The 19121-nt window shown below is 44.8% G+C and overlaps 1 protein-coding gene across 2 annotated transcripts in view, besides 8 other annotated features; it reads right to left on the bottom strand.

The window, feature by feature from the left end:
* The window catches only part of ZCCHC2 (zinc finger CCHC-type containing 2), a 63705-nt gene extending 53595 nt beyond the window's left edge, over positions 1–10110 (bottom strand). For both annotated transcript variants that reach the window (NR_126534.2, NM_017742.6), the window contains exon 1: positions 8772–10110. Coding sequence is in view for 1 of the 2 variants with exons in the window: in NM_017742.6 (NP_060212.4) it covers positions 8772–9710 (939 nt within the window). In the remaining variant the exon portion in view is untranslated. The remainder of the gene's footprint in view (positions 1–8771) is intronic.
* Positions 6194–6613: a silencer, noted in NCBI's record as "silent region_9513". NCBI's record gives its function as "represses an Ori minimal core promoter by ATAC-STARR-seq in GM12878 lymphoblastoid cells {active_cell/tissue: GM12878}" and the evidence as "EXISTENCE:reporter gene assay evidence [ECO:0000049][PMID:35858748]".
* Positions 8217–8346: a silencer, noted in NCBI's record as "silent region_9512". NCBI's record gives its function as "represses an Ori minimal core promoter by ATAC-STARR-seq in GM12878 lymphoblastoid cells {active_cell/tissue: GM12878}" and the evidence as "EXISTENCE:reporter gene assay evidence [ECO:0000049][PMID:35858748]".
* Positions 8587–8826: a silencer, noted in NCBI's record as "silent region_9511". NCBI's record gives its function as "represses an Ori minimal core promoter by ATAC-STARR-seq in GM12878 lymphoblastoid cells {active_cell/tissue: GM12878}" and the evidence as "EXISTENCE:reporter gene assay evidence [ECO:0000049][PMID:35858748]".
* Positions 8828–9401: an enhancer, noted in NCBI's record as "H3K27ac hESC enhancer chr18:60190967-60191540 (GRCh37/hg19 assembly coordinates)". NCBI's record gives its function as "activates a minimal SCP1, AML or CMV promoter by ChIP-STARR-seq in naive H9 embryonic stem cells {active_cell/tissue: H9 hESC(naive)}" and the evidence as "EXISTENCE:reporter gene assay evidence [ECO:0000049][PMID:30033119]".
* Positions 9717–10216: a silencer, noted in NCBI's record as "silent region_9510". NCBI's record gives its function as "represses an Ori minimal core promoter by ATAC-STARR-seq in GM12878 lymphoblastoid cells {active_cell/tissue: GM12878}" and the evidence as "EXISTENCE:reporter gene assay evidence [ECO:0000049][PMID:35858748]".
* Positions 10247–10516: a silencer, noted in NCBI's record as "silent region_9509". NCBI's record gives its function as "represses an Ori minimal core promoter by ATAC-STARR-seq in GM12878 lymphoblastoid cells {active_cell/tissue: GM12878}" and the evidence as "EXISTENCE:reporter gene assay evidence [ECO:0000049][PMID:35858748]".
* Positions 10747–10856: a silencer, noted in NCBI's record as "silent region_9508". NCBI's record gives its function as "represses an Ori minimal core promoter by ATAC-STARR-seq in GM12878 lymphoblastoid cells {active_cell/tissue: GM12878}" and the evidence as "EXISTENCE:reporter gene assay evidence [ECO:0000049][PMID:35858748]".
* Positions 14224–14393: an enhancer, noted in NCBI's record as "experimental_49008 CRE fragment used in MPRA reporter constructs". NCBI's record gives its function as "activates a minimal promoter by MPRAs in K562 erythroleukemia cells, with activity observed for the non-introgressed 18:60186060 variant allele {active_cell/tissue: K562}" and the evidence as "EXISTENCE:reporter gene assay evidence [ECO:0000049][PMID:34662402]".

Raw genomic sequence — 19121 nt, 5'->3', positions numbered from 1 at the left:
TTTGGGGAACTTAAAATTCTAGTGTGAAAGATCAAATTTATTTATTTACTTATTTTTAAGACAGGGTCTCACTCTGTTACCCAGGCTGGAGTGCAGTGGCATGATCTCAGCTCACTGCAGCCTCTGCCTCCAGGGCTCAAATGATCCTCCAGGCTGGGTCAAGCTATCCTCCTGGGCTCAAGTGATCCTCCTGCCTCCGCCTCCTGAGTAGCTGGGACTACAGACATGCACCACTACGCCCAGCTAATTTTTGTATTTTTCTGTAGAGACTGGTTTTTGCCATGTTGCCCAGGCTGGTCTTGAACTCCTGGGCTCAAGCAATCCACCCGCCTCAGCTTCCCACAGTGCTGGGATTACAGGCATGAGCCACCACACCTGGCCTGAGAGGTCAATTTTAAATGTTAAAAAGACAAAGAATCACAGAAGTACCAAAATTACAACGATATATGTGCATCTAAAATTCAGTGGCAGCAAATAATCCTTTAAGACTGCCACGGGGACAATTCCAGAAAACATCATACAAGAGACAATGGCATGAACCCAGCCTAGAATGAAAGGGGGGATATATGAAAAAAGAGTGGAGGAGGAGATTTTGAGTCTAAAGGCCTATTAGAGGCCAGGGTCCATCAGTCACTCAAAGAAAAGATAGTATGATTAAATGTTGCTTTAGAAAGGTGTATCTGGTAGTAGTATTAAACGATTAGAAGTGGGAAGGCTAAAAAGCAGGGGAATCAGAAGGCTACTATAAAAGTCTTGGCGTAAAGTCCCAACAGAGAACGGTGTCAGGCAAGGATGAGGAAAGTGTGTATTCAGGATGTGATGGGAGAAGACGATCAAGGTCATCAAGTAATTTGGAGTGACTAGAAACATAATGGTACCATTCAGAGAACTGAGTGAGTCTGGAAGATTTTCAAAAAATCAATCATGTATTCTTTTTATATAGATTCACATTAGAGTGACAGTTGACATTCAATGAGATATACACCATAAGGGCGCACGTGCGCGCGCGCGCACACACACACCCCTTCACTGGCTCCCACTGGAACCTACTGACAACCTATTATTTTAACATGACCTTCAAGGCCCTCATTATAACCCAACCCTACTATCTCTTCAAATGTCTTTCTTTTCCTCTTTCTTCTCTCCTTTTTGAAACAGCGTCTCACTCTGTTGCTCAGGCTGGAGTGCAGTGGTACCACCACAGCTCACTACAGCCTTGACCTCCCAGGCTCAAGTGATCCTCCCACCTCAGCCTTCTGAGTAGCTGGAGCCTCCTGAGTAGTTGGGACTACAGGTACTTGCCTCCACACCCAGCTAACATTTTTTTTTTTTTTTTTTTTTTTACTTTTTGTAGAGATGGGGATCTCACTAAGTTGTCAGAGTTGGCTTCAAACTCCTGGGCTCAAGCGATCCCTCTGCCTCAGCCTCCCAAACTGTTGAGATTACAGGCGTGAGCCACCGCACCTCACCTAACATCTGTTTTTCTACTCATCCACTGCAACCAAATTGTGCTAATCGCTCTATGAATAATACATATATCTCCTTCTTGTTTACCAAGCATTTTCACTTACATTAACACATTCATCCTCACAACAATTATAGGAAACAGATAGGAATGATATCCCTATTTTATACTGGACACTCTGGACTTTGGGAAGACCAAATAACTTGCCAAAATGACCTTTTCAAAATATAAATCTGACCTCAAATAAATGACTTATTGAATGAGCACAAAACATTTCTAATGAACTGAGGCATTTAGAAAGGAACTAAAGGTCAAATGTTCCCGAGAGCATAGGAAAAACAGAAGGAAGCCAACTACCCCCGGCCCAGCCAGGCTACACCTGTAACATAAACACCCGATTAGGCACTTCCTTTTTAGATTGATTGTTTACAGAAAAAGGAACCCCAAAATGTCAGTGGATGAATGAGGCTTTTGTGACAAAGAATTCTTTGTAAGTAAAAGAAGTACTGTCACACACAGTCCTCCATAACGAAAAACACAGTCAATAAAATAAGTTCAGTCTGCCTTGACAGTAGTACAGGCCTTTTTGCTTCCCTTTAAAAAAAAAAAAATTAGCTTAACATTTCTCAAGAGAAAAATATTAAGTGAGTTAAAAATAAGCCAATTCAACAGCTTTTATAAAAGTAAAAAAATGTTCTTAATTATCCATGGATTCTAGTCTGTGCTCTGAACTAACAAAGAATCATGTAACTTAACAAAAGTGCAAAACAGATTTAAGTTATAGAATAGTTTTCTAGCTAAATGTGAAAACAGGATCAGGATTTAAGTAGATTACAACTGCACGATAATTAATAATAATCTAAATCTAAAACATGCACTTTCTCCATTCCCATCCCCAAATCCAATACGAGGAAAATATCTATTTTAATGTTCTGTGACTCACAGAATTCCTTCCTTTGGGTTTATCTGTAGAACACTGCATCTTTACAAGTAAGTACTAACAAAAATAAAATAACTGCTCCAAATAAATGTGGCTCAAATACCACCTTTTCAATTGCCTGTCCTTCCCGAACATCAATGTATTCACAGGGATGGTAACAGAGAATATACAAAATACTCCACTATAAGGATTTTTATTAGGTTAAAAAAAAAACAAACCATATTCCTGAAAACACTGCAGGTTGTGTTAGTGGAAAATATGCACTGAGCACTAATCTCAAGAAAGAATGCATGCTCAAGACAGTATGTGAATTATTTCACATCTTATTAATACAATCATCACCTCAAAAGTTATTATCCCCATTTTACAGGTAAGACTGTAAATTATCCCCATTTTACAGGTAAGACTCAGGGATTTAAGTGGCCTGGCTGACAACTATCACAGCTAGTGGCAGAGTTGAAACGTAACCCTCCAAGCCTAGGGATCTACTAAACATGGCTATCATTCTTCAAGGTCTTCTCATAGCCTCTATGACACTCTTCCTGACCCCTTCTCCACACAAAAAAATTATTAAGGCAACATGTATGTATAGTACATATAAAATTATCCCCCAATACCCATGAGGAATTGGTACTAGAAACTCCCAATACCAAAATCCAAGAGTGCTCCAGTCTGGATATAAAATGGCCTAGTATTTGTGTATAACCTATGTACACTCTCCTGTATACTCTAAATAGCTCCAGATTACTTATATCTAACACAACATAGATGCTATGTAAATAGCTGTTATACTGTATTGTTTTGGATTACAAGAAAAAAGTCTGTACGTGTTCAGTACACGTGCAATATTTTTCCCTAATATTTTTGATCCATAGTTGGTTGAATCCCCGGATGTAGAAACCATGGGTATGTATAAATAAATCACACAGACATATTTTAGTCAACTTGAGAGAAAGAATGTACTTCCTCTCCACATCCAGCACCCGCTCCCGCCTCCCACCATGGTATACATGAGACTTAGTTTCTGAGTTCTCCTTACCTGGAAAATGACTGCATAGAAAAATGTAACTGGGGAAGGAACTCAGGATTTTAATAGTTATTTCCTACTAAAATAATCACTATTTGATATATTCTAAAAAGTCTCTTCCAAATGGCTTTTATAACTGAACTGCTTTTATTCTTTGCTGTAGCCAAACCAACCTAAAATTTCCCATGAAAGACATAGCTGTTTCTGGCCCCCATTCTCAGTATGTAAGATGCTGTGCCCACTTCTCTACCACCACCATCCACACAAGGCTGAGCTTTCACCTGCAACAGCTAATATTTATTGAAGACCATGAACCAGACACTATGCTACAAGTTAAGGACTCCTTCACTGAACCCTAACACTCCCAGAGTGGCGGGAGGGAAGCCTCAGTCAGCACCCACTGCCCCAACAACACTATTCACTTTAAAATATCAAATAACCCAGCAGCAGGGGTCAGTTAAATAAAGGTATTTATTAATATTACCAGTGAGCATTAGAACTGGTCATTTTTAAAAAGCATCTTTTTTTTTTTTTTTTTTTTTTGAGACGTTGTCTCACTCTGTCACCCAGGCTGGAGTGCAGTGGCGTGATCTCGGCTGACTACAACCTCCGCTTCTCTGGTTCAAGCAATTCTCTTGTCTCAGCCTCCTGTGCAGCTGGCACTACAGGCGCCTGCCACCACGCCCAGCTAATTTTTATATTTTTAGTAGAGATAGGGTTTCACCTCGTTGGTCAGGCTGGTCTCTAACTCCTGACCTCAGGTGATCCACCTGCCTTGGCTTTCAAAGTGCTGGAATTACAGGCGTGAGCCACTGCGCCTGGCCAAAAAATCATCTTTTTTAGTGCCTGCTATAATAACTGAAATTCTGACAATCAACCTTTTCCTTCTCATTTTAAGTCAGTTACTCTCTCACTAGGATTCTGGCTGCCACATCCACATTCAAGTTATCTTGAAGTAGCATCGTTGATGTTAAAACTCTTTTAAAAGTTTTCTTCCAGTATGTTTCCTATATTGCGAAGTTAATCAAAGTACTTGGTCTATCAAGTACAATTTAGCTAACTAAACTACGCTATGAAAAAGTAACAAGGTTTTTTTTTTTTTTCCCGAGACAGTCTCACTCTGTCGCCCAGGCTAGAGTGCAGTGGCGCCACCTCGGCTCACTGCAACCTCTGCCTCCCAGGTTCAAGCGATTCTCCTGCCTCAGCCTCCAGAGTAGCTGGGACTACAGGCATGTGCCACCATGCCCGGCTAACTTTTTTTGTATTTTTCTTAATAGAGATGGGGTTTCACCATACTGGCCAGGCTGGTCTCGAACTCCTGACCTCGTGATCCGCCCACCTCGGCCTCCCGAAGTGCTGGGATTACAGGCGTGAGCCACCGCACCTGGCCGCAAGGTTTTCTTTTTAATTCACTACTTTTAGTAAGTGAAGGACTCATGGCTACTTGATTTTTGTGAATTCAAATGATGAACTCAAATATGTTTTGTGAGTTCAAATAACACAAAGACATAGGATAATTTTGTGCCTTAGTATCGAAAGTTTACATTTTTATCTTTCATTCAAACATTAGTACTGTTAGTCAAGCAATTAAGCTTTGAAGATCTTGGTGACACAATCTCCAGAGAATCGTCATACCATATTAATCAATAACCACTACTATGATCGTCTACATATTTTATGCTTCTTATACCTTTGTGTCGCTAGTTGGGGACTAAACCTCCAAAATGAGAATACCCATTTTCCCGAACAGTTAACGAATGTCTTTAAGTATGCAAACATTGCTTGCATGTCTTGCTTCCTGTCTTTTCAATGAAACAGCAACAAAACTAGTACCTTTTAAAATACATAGGCATTTTTTTGTTGCTAACACACAATTTATAGTTTGGCTTCCTAATAATAGGAAGACACCCATTTTAAAAACCAAGCGTTTTCAGCTATGCTATATAAGCAGTCTGTAACTTCCTAACACAGGATTGTAACAATCACACAGAGTTCCTAGGACACTCACAGTAGTGAGTGACTTCACTACTGCTCCCTGGCCTCTTTGCTGAATTTTGTACAAGTTACTGGCAGTCCACCGCAGTTGTGTGAGGAATGTGAGATTTATGTACAAGCCTCCTAAAAAAACTGCTGACATTTAAGTTGTAATCCAATGTAATATTTACCATAAAGTCATCCAAATAATAGAAAAACTCTAGAAATGTTACTCTTAAAAGTAAAAACATCCTTGTTGAGCTTTCCTGTATTTCCAATGTAGCCTAAAAAGTATATATTCTACCGGCAACCTGTGTACGTGTTATACCTCAACTATTAACATTGTAACCATGGCATGTCACTAACAGTTGCTGGGCCCAGTCAACTTCAAAGCATGTAATATAAAATTGGCATTAAAGACATGTTCTGTCTGTAAATGTCATTAGTTTTTAAATTTTTTAATAGACAAGCTGATTCAGTACTGGATACAAGGAAGTCCTGTGAGAGCCAGGTGCACTATTCTGGGCCAGTATACCCTTACTTTAATAGAAAAGAGAATTAAAAAGATGCTAACTTTACGTTAACCAATAGTAAGGCTGAAAATACGTCGTTTGGCACACCAAAGAGCTTCACTTAGTAGTTAAGAAAAAGAATGACTCCCAATTAAAATTGCATACTTGTGTCTAAAAGGTTACTTTCGGGGGGGGGGGGGGCGGGGGAAATGCTGCCACACGAATTTCCCTTTACCAGGGTTATCGCCACGGCCCAGTACGGCCCAGCGCAGCATCCACGTGGTTCTCGAGTCCGCCTGGAAGTCTCCGGCGCTAGCCCAAAGCCTGGCCTCCGCGGGAAGAGGCCAAAAGGGCGCCGGGGGCGGGGCCGGCGCGCCGGTCACGTGGGAGGCGCGCGCGGCCGCCATCTTGCAGGGCGGGGGCGGGGAGGAGCCCCGCGCCACGGACCCTATATCGCCGTGCGCTAGCTCCGGGCGTTGCGTGACCTCCGAGCCCCTAAGGCGGGTCGCGGCGCCTCCACGCGAGGGGCGCGCGAGCTTTGGGCTCATCCCTGACGATGGGGAGGTGCGCCCGCCCTCCCCGGGTGCGCGGCGGCGGCGGCGGGAGGCCGAGAACAGCTGGGCCGGACTGCAGCGAATGAGGGCTTAACTCAGCCCACCCACATCAGCGGCCTCTGGAGTGACAGCCTGGGAGCAACATCATCAGATAAAAGGTCAAGGCCAGAACAAGCCACAGCTGGGACTCGGAGGTCACTCTACGCAGCAGAAAATGCGGGGTCGTAACAACTTAATGAGATGTGAATGATGTGTTACGGTAACCCTAAACAACTGCTGGAGAAGTTCACCACACACCACGCATCTAGAAATAGCCCAGTGTCACCTGTAGTACGCGGCCCCTATGATTTATTCCCCCACTTCACTTGACACGTCCTGAGAAGCAGTGATGTGCTGACGTTAATGGCAGGATGCCCAACCTCACTTTGTCCATCCCTCCCAGCACTCACTGGTTGCAGAAAAGGTCACGCATTGCGGTCAACATAAAAATCTCATTACTCTGGTCTGCATGCATCCCTCCCCTTTCTCTACTTGCCCTCCAACACGCTTATTAAAAACAAAATTTAAAGAAAGAAAAGGGAAAGAAAAAAAGACTTTCAGCAGTTAAAATCAGAAATCAAGTACCTTTGTTGGAATAGTATGAATGGAATGATATGAGGTTCCACTGTGGGACATTTTCTTTAGACCTGCAATTTAAGGCTATCTTTACAATATTGTATGTTATTACAATAACATTTTAAATAAGCATTGTTCCTGAATTCATGTTTTTGTCTCTAAATTTAATGGCTGTGCGGCATATAGGACTTTTGGGAAATTAACGAGTAGGCTGAAGAGTGGAGGAGGCTTTTACCATCAGCACACGCACTGCATGCTAGTGGTAAACAGGCGCTGGAAGATGACAAAATTTCAAACTCACCGAGATAATGCTGGGCACTAGAGCGTTACATCTGAGTTTGATAAAATACGTCCCAAAACATGAATTAGTTACCTCACAGAAGCGTCGTTTTAAAAAAGGGGTTCAGGCTAGATTATCTCTAAATTCCTTCCAGCCCCAAATCCATTGATTCCACGGGTACTGAGTCCACAAAGCCACTAGTGAAATACCATGCCCAATTTTAGTTCTGGGGTACTGAATGACAGCAGATATATATATACTGAATTAACGTTCAAGCAAGGAGAGGAGAAAATCCCCTTTTCCATTATCTCCTAGAGATCACCTAAGCTGAAAAACATGGCATCCAAATCAACACCTTTCAAAAGCCTGTGACCCCACAAATAATCTCACTTTACAGTTCTCACTCTTACTGAAACCTACTCCCCACCTTCCCATGGAAAAGTCCTCCTCAAAGACTCACTGGACCCTAATTATCATTAAATTGCTTTCATGGCTGTAAAAAAAATTCATCTTTAATGTTTGCGACAAGTGTCTCATCTGGATTCTCGTCTACTACATTTTGGTGTTTAAGTGATTCTTTTGGGCAACATTAACGCCTATCGTAAACGCTCAACAAATATCCCGGAACCCCAATCTGTAGGCAGGAATCAAGCCCGTGAGAAAGCGCGTGTGCCGGAGGGAAAAAGCATCCCAGGCCGCGCTAGAAAAGGTTTCTCTCCCCGGACAACCTGCGTTACTACTCATCTCAGATCCATTCGCAGGTCTCTACGTCAGATGTCTGCTGGGAACACAAGCCCTCAGAGCAGAAGCCACAAGGACCCGTACGACCCCTTTTAACTCAGGCACACACTGGGCAAAAAAAGTCCCTCTGTGCCAAAGACAAGGGCAGCTCGCCGGGAGCGCACCTTCAGGACACCCCGCCGAGGGCCCGGCAGAGCCCGGAGACGGGAGGCGGAGCCCCGGCCAGGCAGGCGGGGAAGGACGGCGCTGCCTGGGGCTCACTGCGGCTGGCTCTCACACAGGTTCCTCCAGCGCCCGGCGGCTCCCGCACCGAGCGCTGAGATGCTCAGAGCCAAAAACGTCCCGACACTTTTCCTCCGAGAGGGGCCCCGGGCGGGGAGCTCCACGTCTTCCGTGGCAACACCGTGGCACGGAAGGGACTTCTAGAGCATTCTGTGATGGCGGGTGGCTGTGTCTGCCGGGGTGTGGGGTGGGGTGGGGGAGTGGAACGGAGCGGCCCAGCGAGACGAAGCTCAGCCCTCTGGCGCTGGGAGCTGCCGGGTGGGGATTCCGAGCCACCTGCGCCGGGCTGGGGCTCGGGCAAGGGGCGTCCGAGAGCGAGGCCGGGGAGGCCGCCGGGGCAGCGATCGCACCGCGAGTCCAGGGAGGCTCCGTGCGCCTTACCTGGGCCCTGGGGCCGGCAAACTTGCACGGCTCTACCTCCACCTCCGCGTCCTCGGGGCCCCCGCGGAGCGCGGCGCGGAGCCTCTCCAAGTGTTCCCTCAGGGTGACCCGCTGGTGGAAGGAGAAAGCCGGGTGCAGCGAGGCCATGGTGAAGAGCAGCAGCAGTTCCTCCTGGGCCCTGGAGCCAAGCCCGCCGCCGACCCGGGGCTCCACAATGCCGCCTTCCGGGCCTGAGCCGTCCTTCTCGGCGTCCTGCTCGCCGTCGCCGTCCTCGCCGCGCTCGTCCTCCGCGCCGCCCCGCGAGCCCTCGCCCCGGGCCGCGCGCAGGCTTTTGAGCACCGAGTCCACCTGGGGTAGCAGGCGGTGCAGACGGCCAGCGGCCTCCCGGTTCTCCGAGCCCAGCAGCGCCAGGTAGACGATGAGGCGCGAGCGCACCGCGGGCTCTCGGAAGTCGGCCAGCGGCCCCGGGTCCGAGAGGCCGTTGGCCTTGGCCTCCGAGTCGCGCAGGTAGTGGTAGTCCTTGCGCGCCAGGTCCTCCAGGCACGAGCCAAGGAAGCGCAGCTCCAGCGGGTTGCACAGGTCCAGCAGCCCGCACATGAACTCCAGGCGCTGCGCCGAGCCCAGCACCAGCCCGAACCACTCGTATACCCGCTCCTGCTCGCGCAGCGCCGCCGAGGGCCCCCCGCCGCCGCCCGGCATACCCGCCCCCGCCGCCGCTCCACCAGCAACAGGCGGCCCGAGTCCCCGGGGCGGCGGCGGCGGCGGCAGAGGGCCCCGCGACGGGCCCGCGGGCGGCGGCGGCGGCGGCGGGGGGCGGCAGTCGCGGCGGCGGCGCGAAGGCGCCTTCGCGCCCGGCCGCGCGTCCGCCTCGGGCTCCTCCGCCTCGGGCGGCGGCTCCGCGGGGTGCGTTGGCTTCAGCGGCAGCTTCATCCTCAGCATCCTCGGCTAGGGCGGCGCAGACATGCGAGCGGGGGCGGGCGGGAGGGGCCGCGAGGTGGAGCACGGGCCGAGGCGGCGGCGCGGCCGTCAGGAGCGGGGCCCCTCCATGCCGCCGGGGGAGGGCCGGGGCCGGGGGCGGGTCTCGGCCGGCGAGGGGGGCGGTGGCCGGCCGGCGGGGTCGCTGGCGTCGTCTTCCCGGGCTGGGGGCGGGGCGTGCCCGCGACGGCTCCTCCCCCTGGGCTCCTCGCCGGTTCTGGGAGCCCGGGTGCGGGTGGGAGCAAGCGAGCGAGGGTGTCCTCCTTCCGCCTCCCTCTCTCCGCCGTCCGCGCTGAGCCGGGGCGGCGGTGCCTGAGCTGTTCCCTCGCGAGCCGGTGAGGACGGAGCGGCTGGGTGAGGAGGTGGAGCAGCCGGGCCGGGCGGAGAAGCTTGCGGGCTCCGCGCACCTCACCTCCGCCAATCAGCACCGCGAATCGACGGTGACGTCGCTCTCCCCGCCCCCTGGGGGGCCGCCTTTCTCCAGGAAGCCACGCCCAACTGCTGGCCGGCCGCCTCCCTCTCGGCGGCTTCCGTGCGGTCCTAAAGGCTGGTGCTCGGCAGGAGGAGGACGCGGGCTGGGGCCGTGGGGCGGCGTGAGGGTAGCCCGGGAGCGGTGAGGAGCGTGCGAGGCCCACGTGAGCGGAGGGACGCGGCCGCTCTCACCTTTCCTGAGGGCCCTGGCCCGGCTTTGGACTCCTGATTCTCCTCTGCTTGCCAGCTGCCGCCCCGCCTCCGCCAGTGGTGCCCGGGCTGCCTGCGCGGCCGGAGTGAACGCGTCCCGGGAGCAGGGGTTTCTCCGAAGTGAGTGCGCCAGCCCCGGGACGAGCTCGTTCGAGTCCTCACCGCCCAGTGCACTTCCTGAAAGCCGGCGGTGGGCTGTCTCCCACCTTGTGAAACTTTGCCAGGTGTCGCTCACAGGGGACTGGGTCCGGACGCGGGTGGCGGCGCTGGTTTGCGGCCCCGGTTTGCGGCCCCGGCGCCGCGATCCCGGGCCGCGCCCACGCCCAGGCTGGAGGCACCGTGCGCAGGTGGGGACGCGCGGCCGGGAGGTGCGCAGCGGGACCCGGCCGGCCGAGGGTGAGCGCTGCTGGGGACGCTCCTAGTCTGTAACGCTCTGTGAAAATTATTTCCTGGATAGTTTAGGAAAAGCCTCTCCCTTCCCCGCCCCTAAACCTCTATCTTTTGGGAATCATTGATTTGCTAAATGACATTTCGGTGCCTAACCCATTTTGAATCCTTGTTCTGCTGTGAATTTCATGTGACTGGAGGAATTTAATAAGCTACCAACTTGACAGGCTTTAAACTTAAAAAAAAAAAGTTTTGTTACGTTTTTCAGATTTAGGCTTCCAAGATGTTTACACTCGCACTGTTACTTTTTTTTTTTTTTTTTTTTTTTTTTAGCAACATAGTCCAAATTTTTAAAACTCAGCTGGATCTTTTGAGGGTTAATTAAAAGGTGGGTTAAAAAAAATCTTAAGACTTTAAATTTAGAAGTCCTACTACAGCTATGTAGTAGGAGTATGCAGAAAGATAAGAATCACATTGTAACTCTTTGCGGTGGTGCTGGAACATCTGTTGGGAGAGCATATGCTGAACTCTGTTCACCTCACAAGTTTATGTCCTAAGAGGCTCATTCACAGTTCAGTAAAAGGGTGAACTGAAGCCTGAATCAGTTTCGGGGATGAAAGGGTGAGAGGGAGAACTGTTTTCAGCACATTTGAGGTTGGCAAAATATATAAAAGTCACTCTTTCTTGTAATTTGCTAGTTCTTTACAGTCTTTAGATGTAATTTACAGCCAAGAAAACTTTATTATGAGGACTTATACGTCATTGCCCTTTTTTGCTGTCACCCTCAACTACCCTGGGATCTTCTACTCATATCTCATCTCCTGTTCCCACTTTTCTAAAGCTTAGGGTGAAATACTTAGGCAACTAGTAATAATATTAATCTTGCTAGATATTCACAGGTTCATAGTGAGCCAGCTGTCTAGATCTGGATATCTAGTGAGCAAATAAATTCTTTACCTCCGAGTTGATTTTTGTTTTATTGATCGATTGACACAGTCTTGCTCTGTCACCCAGGCTGGAGCACAGGCTCAAGCAGATCCTCCTGCCTCAGCCTCTCAAGTAGCTGGGACCACAGGCACGTGACACCACACCTGGCTAATTGTTTGTATTTTTTTGTAGAGACAGAGTCTCACCATGTTGCCCAGGCTGGCAAATTGAGTTTTATATGTGACGCAGTCAAAGGGGCATTTTCCTTGGCAATAAGAAGCCATTTGATATGAACTCTCCACAATAGTTGATGCATACATTTTATACCAGAATTCAAATTTGTAATCAATAATGATTACTTGGGTGTTTATAGCTTTGGCCAACATTAAACAATATAGTGATCAAAGCTTATACACATAAGTGACATATACCATGATTTAATGATTTTGGTTATCCATCAGCTGGACAATTTGTTGTTTATCTCCGTCTCTGCATACTGCAGCTCACAAGGAGGCCTCAATGTTTTTTCCATGTTACCATAAGTGAGAGAACACATTCAGTAAGAGTGAAAAAACGCTAGTGCTTTTGAGGGAGGGGCCCCGATGGAAGTCCCACTGTGACATGTGAGTTTTTAAGCTGGGAAAACTACCCTGATGATTCTAGTAAGACTCCCTAGAAAGGGATTCCTCTTAGCCAGCCTACCTGTTGAGAACACCTGCTCTAGATTTTCTGATTTTTTTTTGTATTCCCTGCATAATCAAATCATGTGGGCCAGATAACATTATTGTGATAGTGGTGAGTGTGTGGTTTGTATCCAAATATTTTATAAAGAAATATATCTTGTAACAAAAACCAGGACACAAAGTATTATTGTCTCTTGTCCCCAGATGATATATATATTTTTAACTTCCCATACTACACTGATGTACCTAGATGATGTTTAATGCACATTCAGTATATTGTTTTATTTGCCTTTTTAATAGTGAAAGGTGTCATTATTCATATACCATGCCATACCGTAATATAGCTGGTATTATTGTCCAAGTATTTATATGTAACCAGAAAACTGATTCCAAGTGAAGGTTTGGATGAAGGCACTAGTGACGGAGGAGGCTTTTCAACCCTCCTTTTTGCAGCTGGGTTGCTGCAAGACATTTCACCAAAACCTCAGATAACTGGGTGGTTCAGGGCAGCCTGATACACTAAAATATATCAACTATAAAAAGGATGCCCAGATACGTCCACTTCTACTTCAGATATCCTGAAACAGGCAGTCTGATTCATATCAAGAATTTGTTCCCTATGAGACCCCTCTCCCACTACACCTCCCTGTTTCCTCCATTAGAATATAAATATCTTGAAGTCACTGACCATGTTTTATTCAATGTTATGTTTTCTCATCTGGCACACAGTAGATGTTCATCCATATTTGTTGAATAAATGAATGAATGAATGAATGAACAGTGCTCCCGTAACAAAAAGTAAAGGCCAGAAACTCTTGGGTCACCTGGAACCTTGTTCCTACCTACCAGGGAAAAGAAAACATGTCTCAGCATTATCAGACTAGCCCTGAGATTCACTCCAGTTGAATTGGCTGAGGTTCTATGGCCATTCTTGATCAGTCACTGGGGCCAAGGCAGTGAATCAACTTCAGAACCATATGGGTCCCTTCCAAGGAGACCCAGGGCTGTTGGAGAGGGGAAAGAAAAATATGAATGCAGGGAGGCACCAACATATGTCTGATATCATTGTACTTTAATCTGTAGTTTGATCATTTAAATTGCCGTGGGTATAAGGTACCTCAAAAATAAATTTTTGTTTAGTTAGTTCACATACAGCATGTATTTTAAAACAGGTGTTAAATATTAAACTGTCTTTAAAGATTACACTTACAAAGCTGATCTAAAACACCAGTAAGTTATCTGCTGATATACAACTTAAGGAAAAAATTAATTGCATATTAAAATTAAAAATACAAGTTTTTGTTAAGGTTTACAAAAATACGGTGACAGACTTGAGATAGAAATTCTTGGTGGTGTTACTGTGACAAGTATTTCCATTGGTAACCTGGGAATCCATGCCCAGCACTGTGGTATATGGCGTATTTTCTGGAAGACTAGCCTTGGATTGAATTCACAGTCTCCCTGGAGTTGTGGTTCCATTTGTCAGAAAGATTCTTAGGGATTTAGACTGACCAGGCTGTCATGTTCTCACACTCATACATTTGTAATTTTTGGAAAAACCATAAAACCCACCAGTCTTTGGAGACTGTCCAGAAATAAACTTGATTCTAAACTGGTTTGGTTTGGAAAATCCTTAGGCTACTTGTGTTAAAAATTAAAGAACTAGCTGGGCATGGTGGTGTGTACCTGTAGTTCCAGCTACGCAGGAGGCTGCGGCAGGAGGATTGCTTGAGCCCAGGAGTTCGAGGCTGCAGTGTTCTGTGATTGCGTCTGTGGAGCGCCACCGCACTTCAGTCTGGACAACATAATGAAACCTCATCTCTTAGAAATGAACTGGCTGATGTTAGGTACTTGCCAGGGTAGACGACCTTAACTAAGCCCCTGGGGTTCTGTGAGACCTCTGCAAATAGATCTTCTGCTTAACTGTTCAAAAAGGCAAGGGCTGTCCCCCTCAAAAAACAACATTGACTTCTAGAGACCCATGGAGAGATGGAAGTTTCTGAAGACTGGCTTGCTAGATAGGAAAATAACCAATGCTCCAGCAGTGTTCTTGGGATTGGAATTTGCTGATTCATGTTTTTTAAAATGCATGATCACATCAAATTTGCTGAGCTGTTGACTATCAACCCAGCCTAAACCCACCGGCTCTTACCCTTTAACTTTCATAAAAGAGAAGCCTGATTTTGTTCAGGTATCTAGCCTTCTCCCAAAGACCCTGTGTGGCTTGAAGGATACCTTTGCTGGAGCCATGGATAGGATAAATCTCGATCAGTAAAACAATTAGGAAATCCTGTACTTTTGCAATTGGTTCGGAATGATTCGTACATGACAAAGGACACACGAGGCAATTTGGAGGGGCTCTCATTGGCCAAATCTGGCAAAATTTGAGTATCAAAAAGATAAGATGGTACCATTGAATAGAAAGAGAATCGAACTCCATAGGGATTTCAAAGAAAAAGAGGTTGGGGAGGGTGCAGAGAAAAAAAACAACAGCATCTTTATAGAAGAGTGCCCCTAAAAAAATGCAGAAAGAGAGAGTGAGAAAAGTACCACTTTGCTACCACCAAATGTAATAATTGATTAAGGTATTTTCACCATTGAGTGGGAAGTTAAGAAATGAAACATGTATTCTCAAAGTACCACCTCATTTAAAAAGGAGAAGAGGTACTTTTACACGGATAAATCTGATGAATACGACCCCAACCATGTAGTCACAATAATGGGACAATTTAATATGTTCTTCCCCATGTCCTGGATGCCACTGGAAGTGCACACTGCTTGTATGTAATATTCTTGCCAAAATGTTTATGCTGAATCTAATCATGGGGAAGTAAGACAAATCTGGACTGTGGAACATTTTATTAGACAACTGGTCTGAATCTTCAAAAATATTAATGTCGGTCAGGCAGGGTGGCTCACACCTGTAATCCCAGCATTTTGGGAGGCCGAGTTGGGCGGATCACCTGAGGTCAGGAGTTCGAGACTAGCCTGGCCAACATGGTGAAACCCTGTCTCTACTAAAAATACACAAAATTAGCCAGGCATGATGGTGGGTGCCTGTGATCTCCAGCTTCAGGAGGCCGAAGCAGGGGAATCACTTGAACGCGGGAGGTGGAGGTTGCAGTGAGCCAAGATTGCTCCATTGTACTCCAGCCTGGGCAACAAGAGCGAAACTGTCTCAAAAAAAAAAAAAAAAAGAAAAAAAAAAGTCATGGCCAGGCATAATGACTCACACCTGTAATCCCAGTACTTTGGGAGGCCAAGCGGGGAGGATGGCTTGATCCCAGGAGTTTGAGACCAGCCTGAGCAGCAAGACCCTGACTCTACAAAAAATAAAATAATTAGCTGGGTGGGGTGGCACATGCACGTGGTCCCAGCTACTCAGGAGGCTGAGCTGGGATGATTGCTTGAGCCTGGGGTTGTGCCACTTGCACTTCAGTGTAGGCAACTGAGCGAGACCCTGTCTCATTTGAAAAAAAAAAAAAGTCATGAAAGCAAGCACAAGCAGAAGACTGATTGTTGAGACATGACTACCAAATGCAATTCATAATCTGTGATTAGATCCCAGATTTTAAAAAAAAAACCTCTAAAAGACATTTTGGGAATAATTAGGTAAATTAAGTAAAATTTAATATGGATTTCTTATTACACACTGTTATTGTATCAATGTTAACTTTCTTAGATGAGATAATTACTTTGTGGTTATCTAGGAAAATGTCTTTGTTTCCCATAAATACATGCTGAAACACTGAAGGATGAAATGTCATGGTATCTACATCTTATTTTCAAATGGCTCAGAAAAAAAATTTTATAGAGAAATAAAGCAAATGTGGCAAAATGTTGATAATGGGCAAATCTAGGTGAAGGGTGTATGTGTGAACATTGTACTATTTTACATTTCTGTAGCTGTGATTTTTATAAAAGTAGAAAAAGTAAAAGTAGCGAAATGATCACAAAACATCCACAGCGTGAATAAAAAAATAAATAAAACTATATTATATGAACACTGTTTAACATTTAAAGTTGTTTAACTGGTTTTGTAAATGGGATAAAATATTAATCAAAGTCCCCTGAGAGCTATTCCTAAAATAGAATAATAAGATTTATGAAGGGAACTTAAAAGCTTAATGGAGAACTGGTTTTCTGAATGTGTCACCTCCATATATTGATATTTCAAAAAATTAGAGAGTGAAACTGGTTACAATCAACTTGTAATGGCTTGCAGAGTTAGTGTCCCAAGAGTTAGTGCGACAGTATGTTCTGAAGGAAACCTGAGACAGTCAAGTCCAAGCAAGGTCATCCTCAGAGAGAAATGCTCCTAAAAAAGGCTGCAAAGCAATCACACTGAAACTGAATGATGTGAAATCACAGTGGAGTTCCCTCTAAGTGAATTCTCTTATTTAATGAATGCTTGGAATCTAAAGTAGGGGCAATTGACAGTATACACATTTGCTAAGGTTGATGCAGCACTTTTCAATGTTAACAGCTACTGTATCTGGTGGACGTGGCCTTTTATCACCAGAAAGACCTACTCTGTCCTGGAGAAGAGTTAGTTCTTTGGGCTTTTCCCTTACCCTCAGGAAAAATCTCTAAGATCATCAAACTTTCTTTCTGTGATCGTGATTCAGAGCCAAATAACCTTTTGATTAGCAACTCACTTTCCCAGTGTCTTAATGCTGGGAAACAGAATATTCTAGGGGAATAGAGATATATAACCCACTTGCAGGAAGATGTTCTGCTTGGTAAATGAAACCATTGACATTCTGATGTATCAGTCCCTTGCAAATTTAGTCAGAGGGGTCACCCCCCACCTGAATTTTATCAATTTGGAATAAACAAGATTGCCTATGTATGATGACTTAAACAGCCCCTTGTTCTTGTATTTTGACATCATTTTAATTTGTACATTGTTTAAACTTAAATAACTACTTAGATCCCAAACAATACCATTTCAAGGATACTGTTTCTTCCTTATTAAAAAAAAAAAAAAAGCTCGGAGGAATTATAGAAAAAAAATTCTAGTCCGGGTGCGATGACTCACACCTATAATCCCAGCAGTTTGGGAGGCCGAGGCAGGTGGATCACTTGAGGCCAGAAGTCCATGACCAGCCTGGCCAACATAGCGAAACCCTGTCTCTACTAAAAATACAAAAATTAGCCGGGCATGGTGGCACATGCCTGTAGTCCCAGCCACTTGGGAGGCTAAGGCATGAGAATCACTTTAACCCAGGGAGGCGGAGGTTGCAGTGAGCTGAGATCACGCCACTGCACTCCAGCCTGGGCGACAAAGCAAGACTCTACAATTTTAAATATTACTTATCAACCTTAGAGGGCTGGCTACAAACCTTATGTAAAGAAGTAAATACATGTTAGAGACTCTTAAATCCCATGAACAGCTGATTGCTTTTTAAAAAATGTACTTTTAAAACAAAAATGATGTTTAAATTATGATCAAATAAATGGTGAATTTCTTTAGTTCATTTAAAACTATTCAACTAAAAACAAATTTGTTTATAATGTAGAAATATATGTGTATTCGTTTTCATTTTTTCAACTGGTTATAATGGAGTTATGTGGATACATTCTAAGCAAATTAAACCACACTCTTACCACATTAATCTCAGAGCTTATCCACATATCAGAACACTAGTTTTATAGTCTGACTATACTTGAAATATTCACAAATATTTATTTTGCTATTAATCCTTGGGTCAAAGTTTATTTTTCTTGAATGCAATATTTGTATTTCAAATGTTCCATCAACATTTACAACTTTTAAAGTTTTCATCATAAGTCTCAAACATCTTGCTGTTTTTTTTTAAATCATGAATGGGTATTGGATTTTGTGCAATGCTTTTTCTGGTCTTTTGAGATGTTGAGATGATGCTTTTTCTGGCTCTGTGCTTTATTATATGGTGTATTATGTTAACTGATAATTCAGATGTTAAACCAACCTTGCATTCCTGGGATAAGTTCCACATGGTAATAATATAGCATTTTTTTTTTGTATATTGCTAGATTCAGTTTGCTAATATTTTGCTGAGAATTTTTGCATCTAACCTCATGAGGAACATTGGTCTGCAATTTTCTTTTGATGTCTTTGGTTTTAGTATCAGGTTATTACTGGTCTCATAGTATGAGTTGGGAAATATTCCTTCCATCTCTGTTTTATGAGTTCATTAAGGATGGTATTAAGTATTATTTAAATGATTTATAGAATCCTCCAGTGAAAACAACTGGACCTGGGATTCTTTTCATGTGGGAAGACTTAAAATTACAAATTCAACTTCTTTACTTGGTATAGGTCTATTCAGAATTTATATTCTTGTTGAATCAGTATTGGCAACTTTTATATTTCTAGGAATTTGTCCATTTCATCTAAGTTGTCTAGTTGGTTAGCATAAAGTTCTTCCTAGTGTTCTCTTACAACTCTTTTTGTTTCTATAAGGTCAATGGTGATGTCTCCTCTTTCATTATTTTTGGTAATTTGTGTCTTCTCAGTTTTTTCTTCATCAGCCTAGATAAAGTTTTGCCAATATTTTGATCTTTTCAAAGAATCAACTTTTAATTAATTGATTTTTCTTATTGCTTTTCTGTTTCCTATTTCATTGATTTCCTCTCTGATCTTTATGATTTCCTTCTTTCTGATTTCTTTGAGTTTGGTTACTTTTTTCTAGCTTATTAAGGTGGAAGTTTA

The sequence above is a fragment of the Homo sapiens genome, chromosome 18 (genome assembly GCF_000001405.40).
Source record: "Homo sapiens chromosome 18, GRCh38.p14 Primary Assembly".
Lineage (NCBI taxonomy): Eukaryota > Metazoa > Chordata > Mammalia > Primates > Hominidae > Homo > Homo sapiens.
Note: the sequence above shows the minus strand (reverse complement) of the source record. Positions and strands in the feature narration are given on the sequence as shown.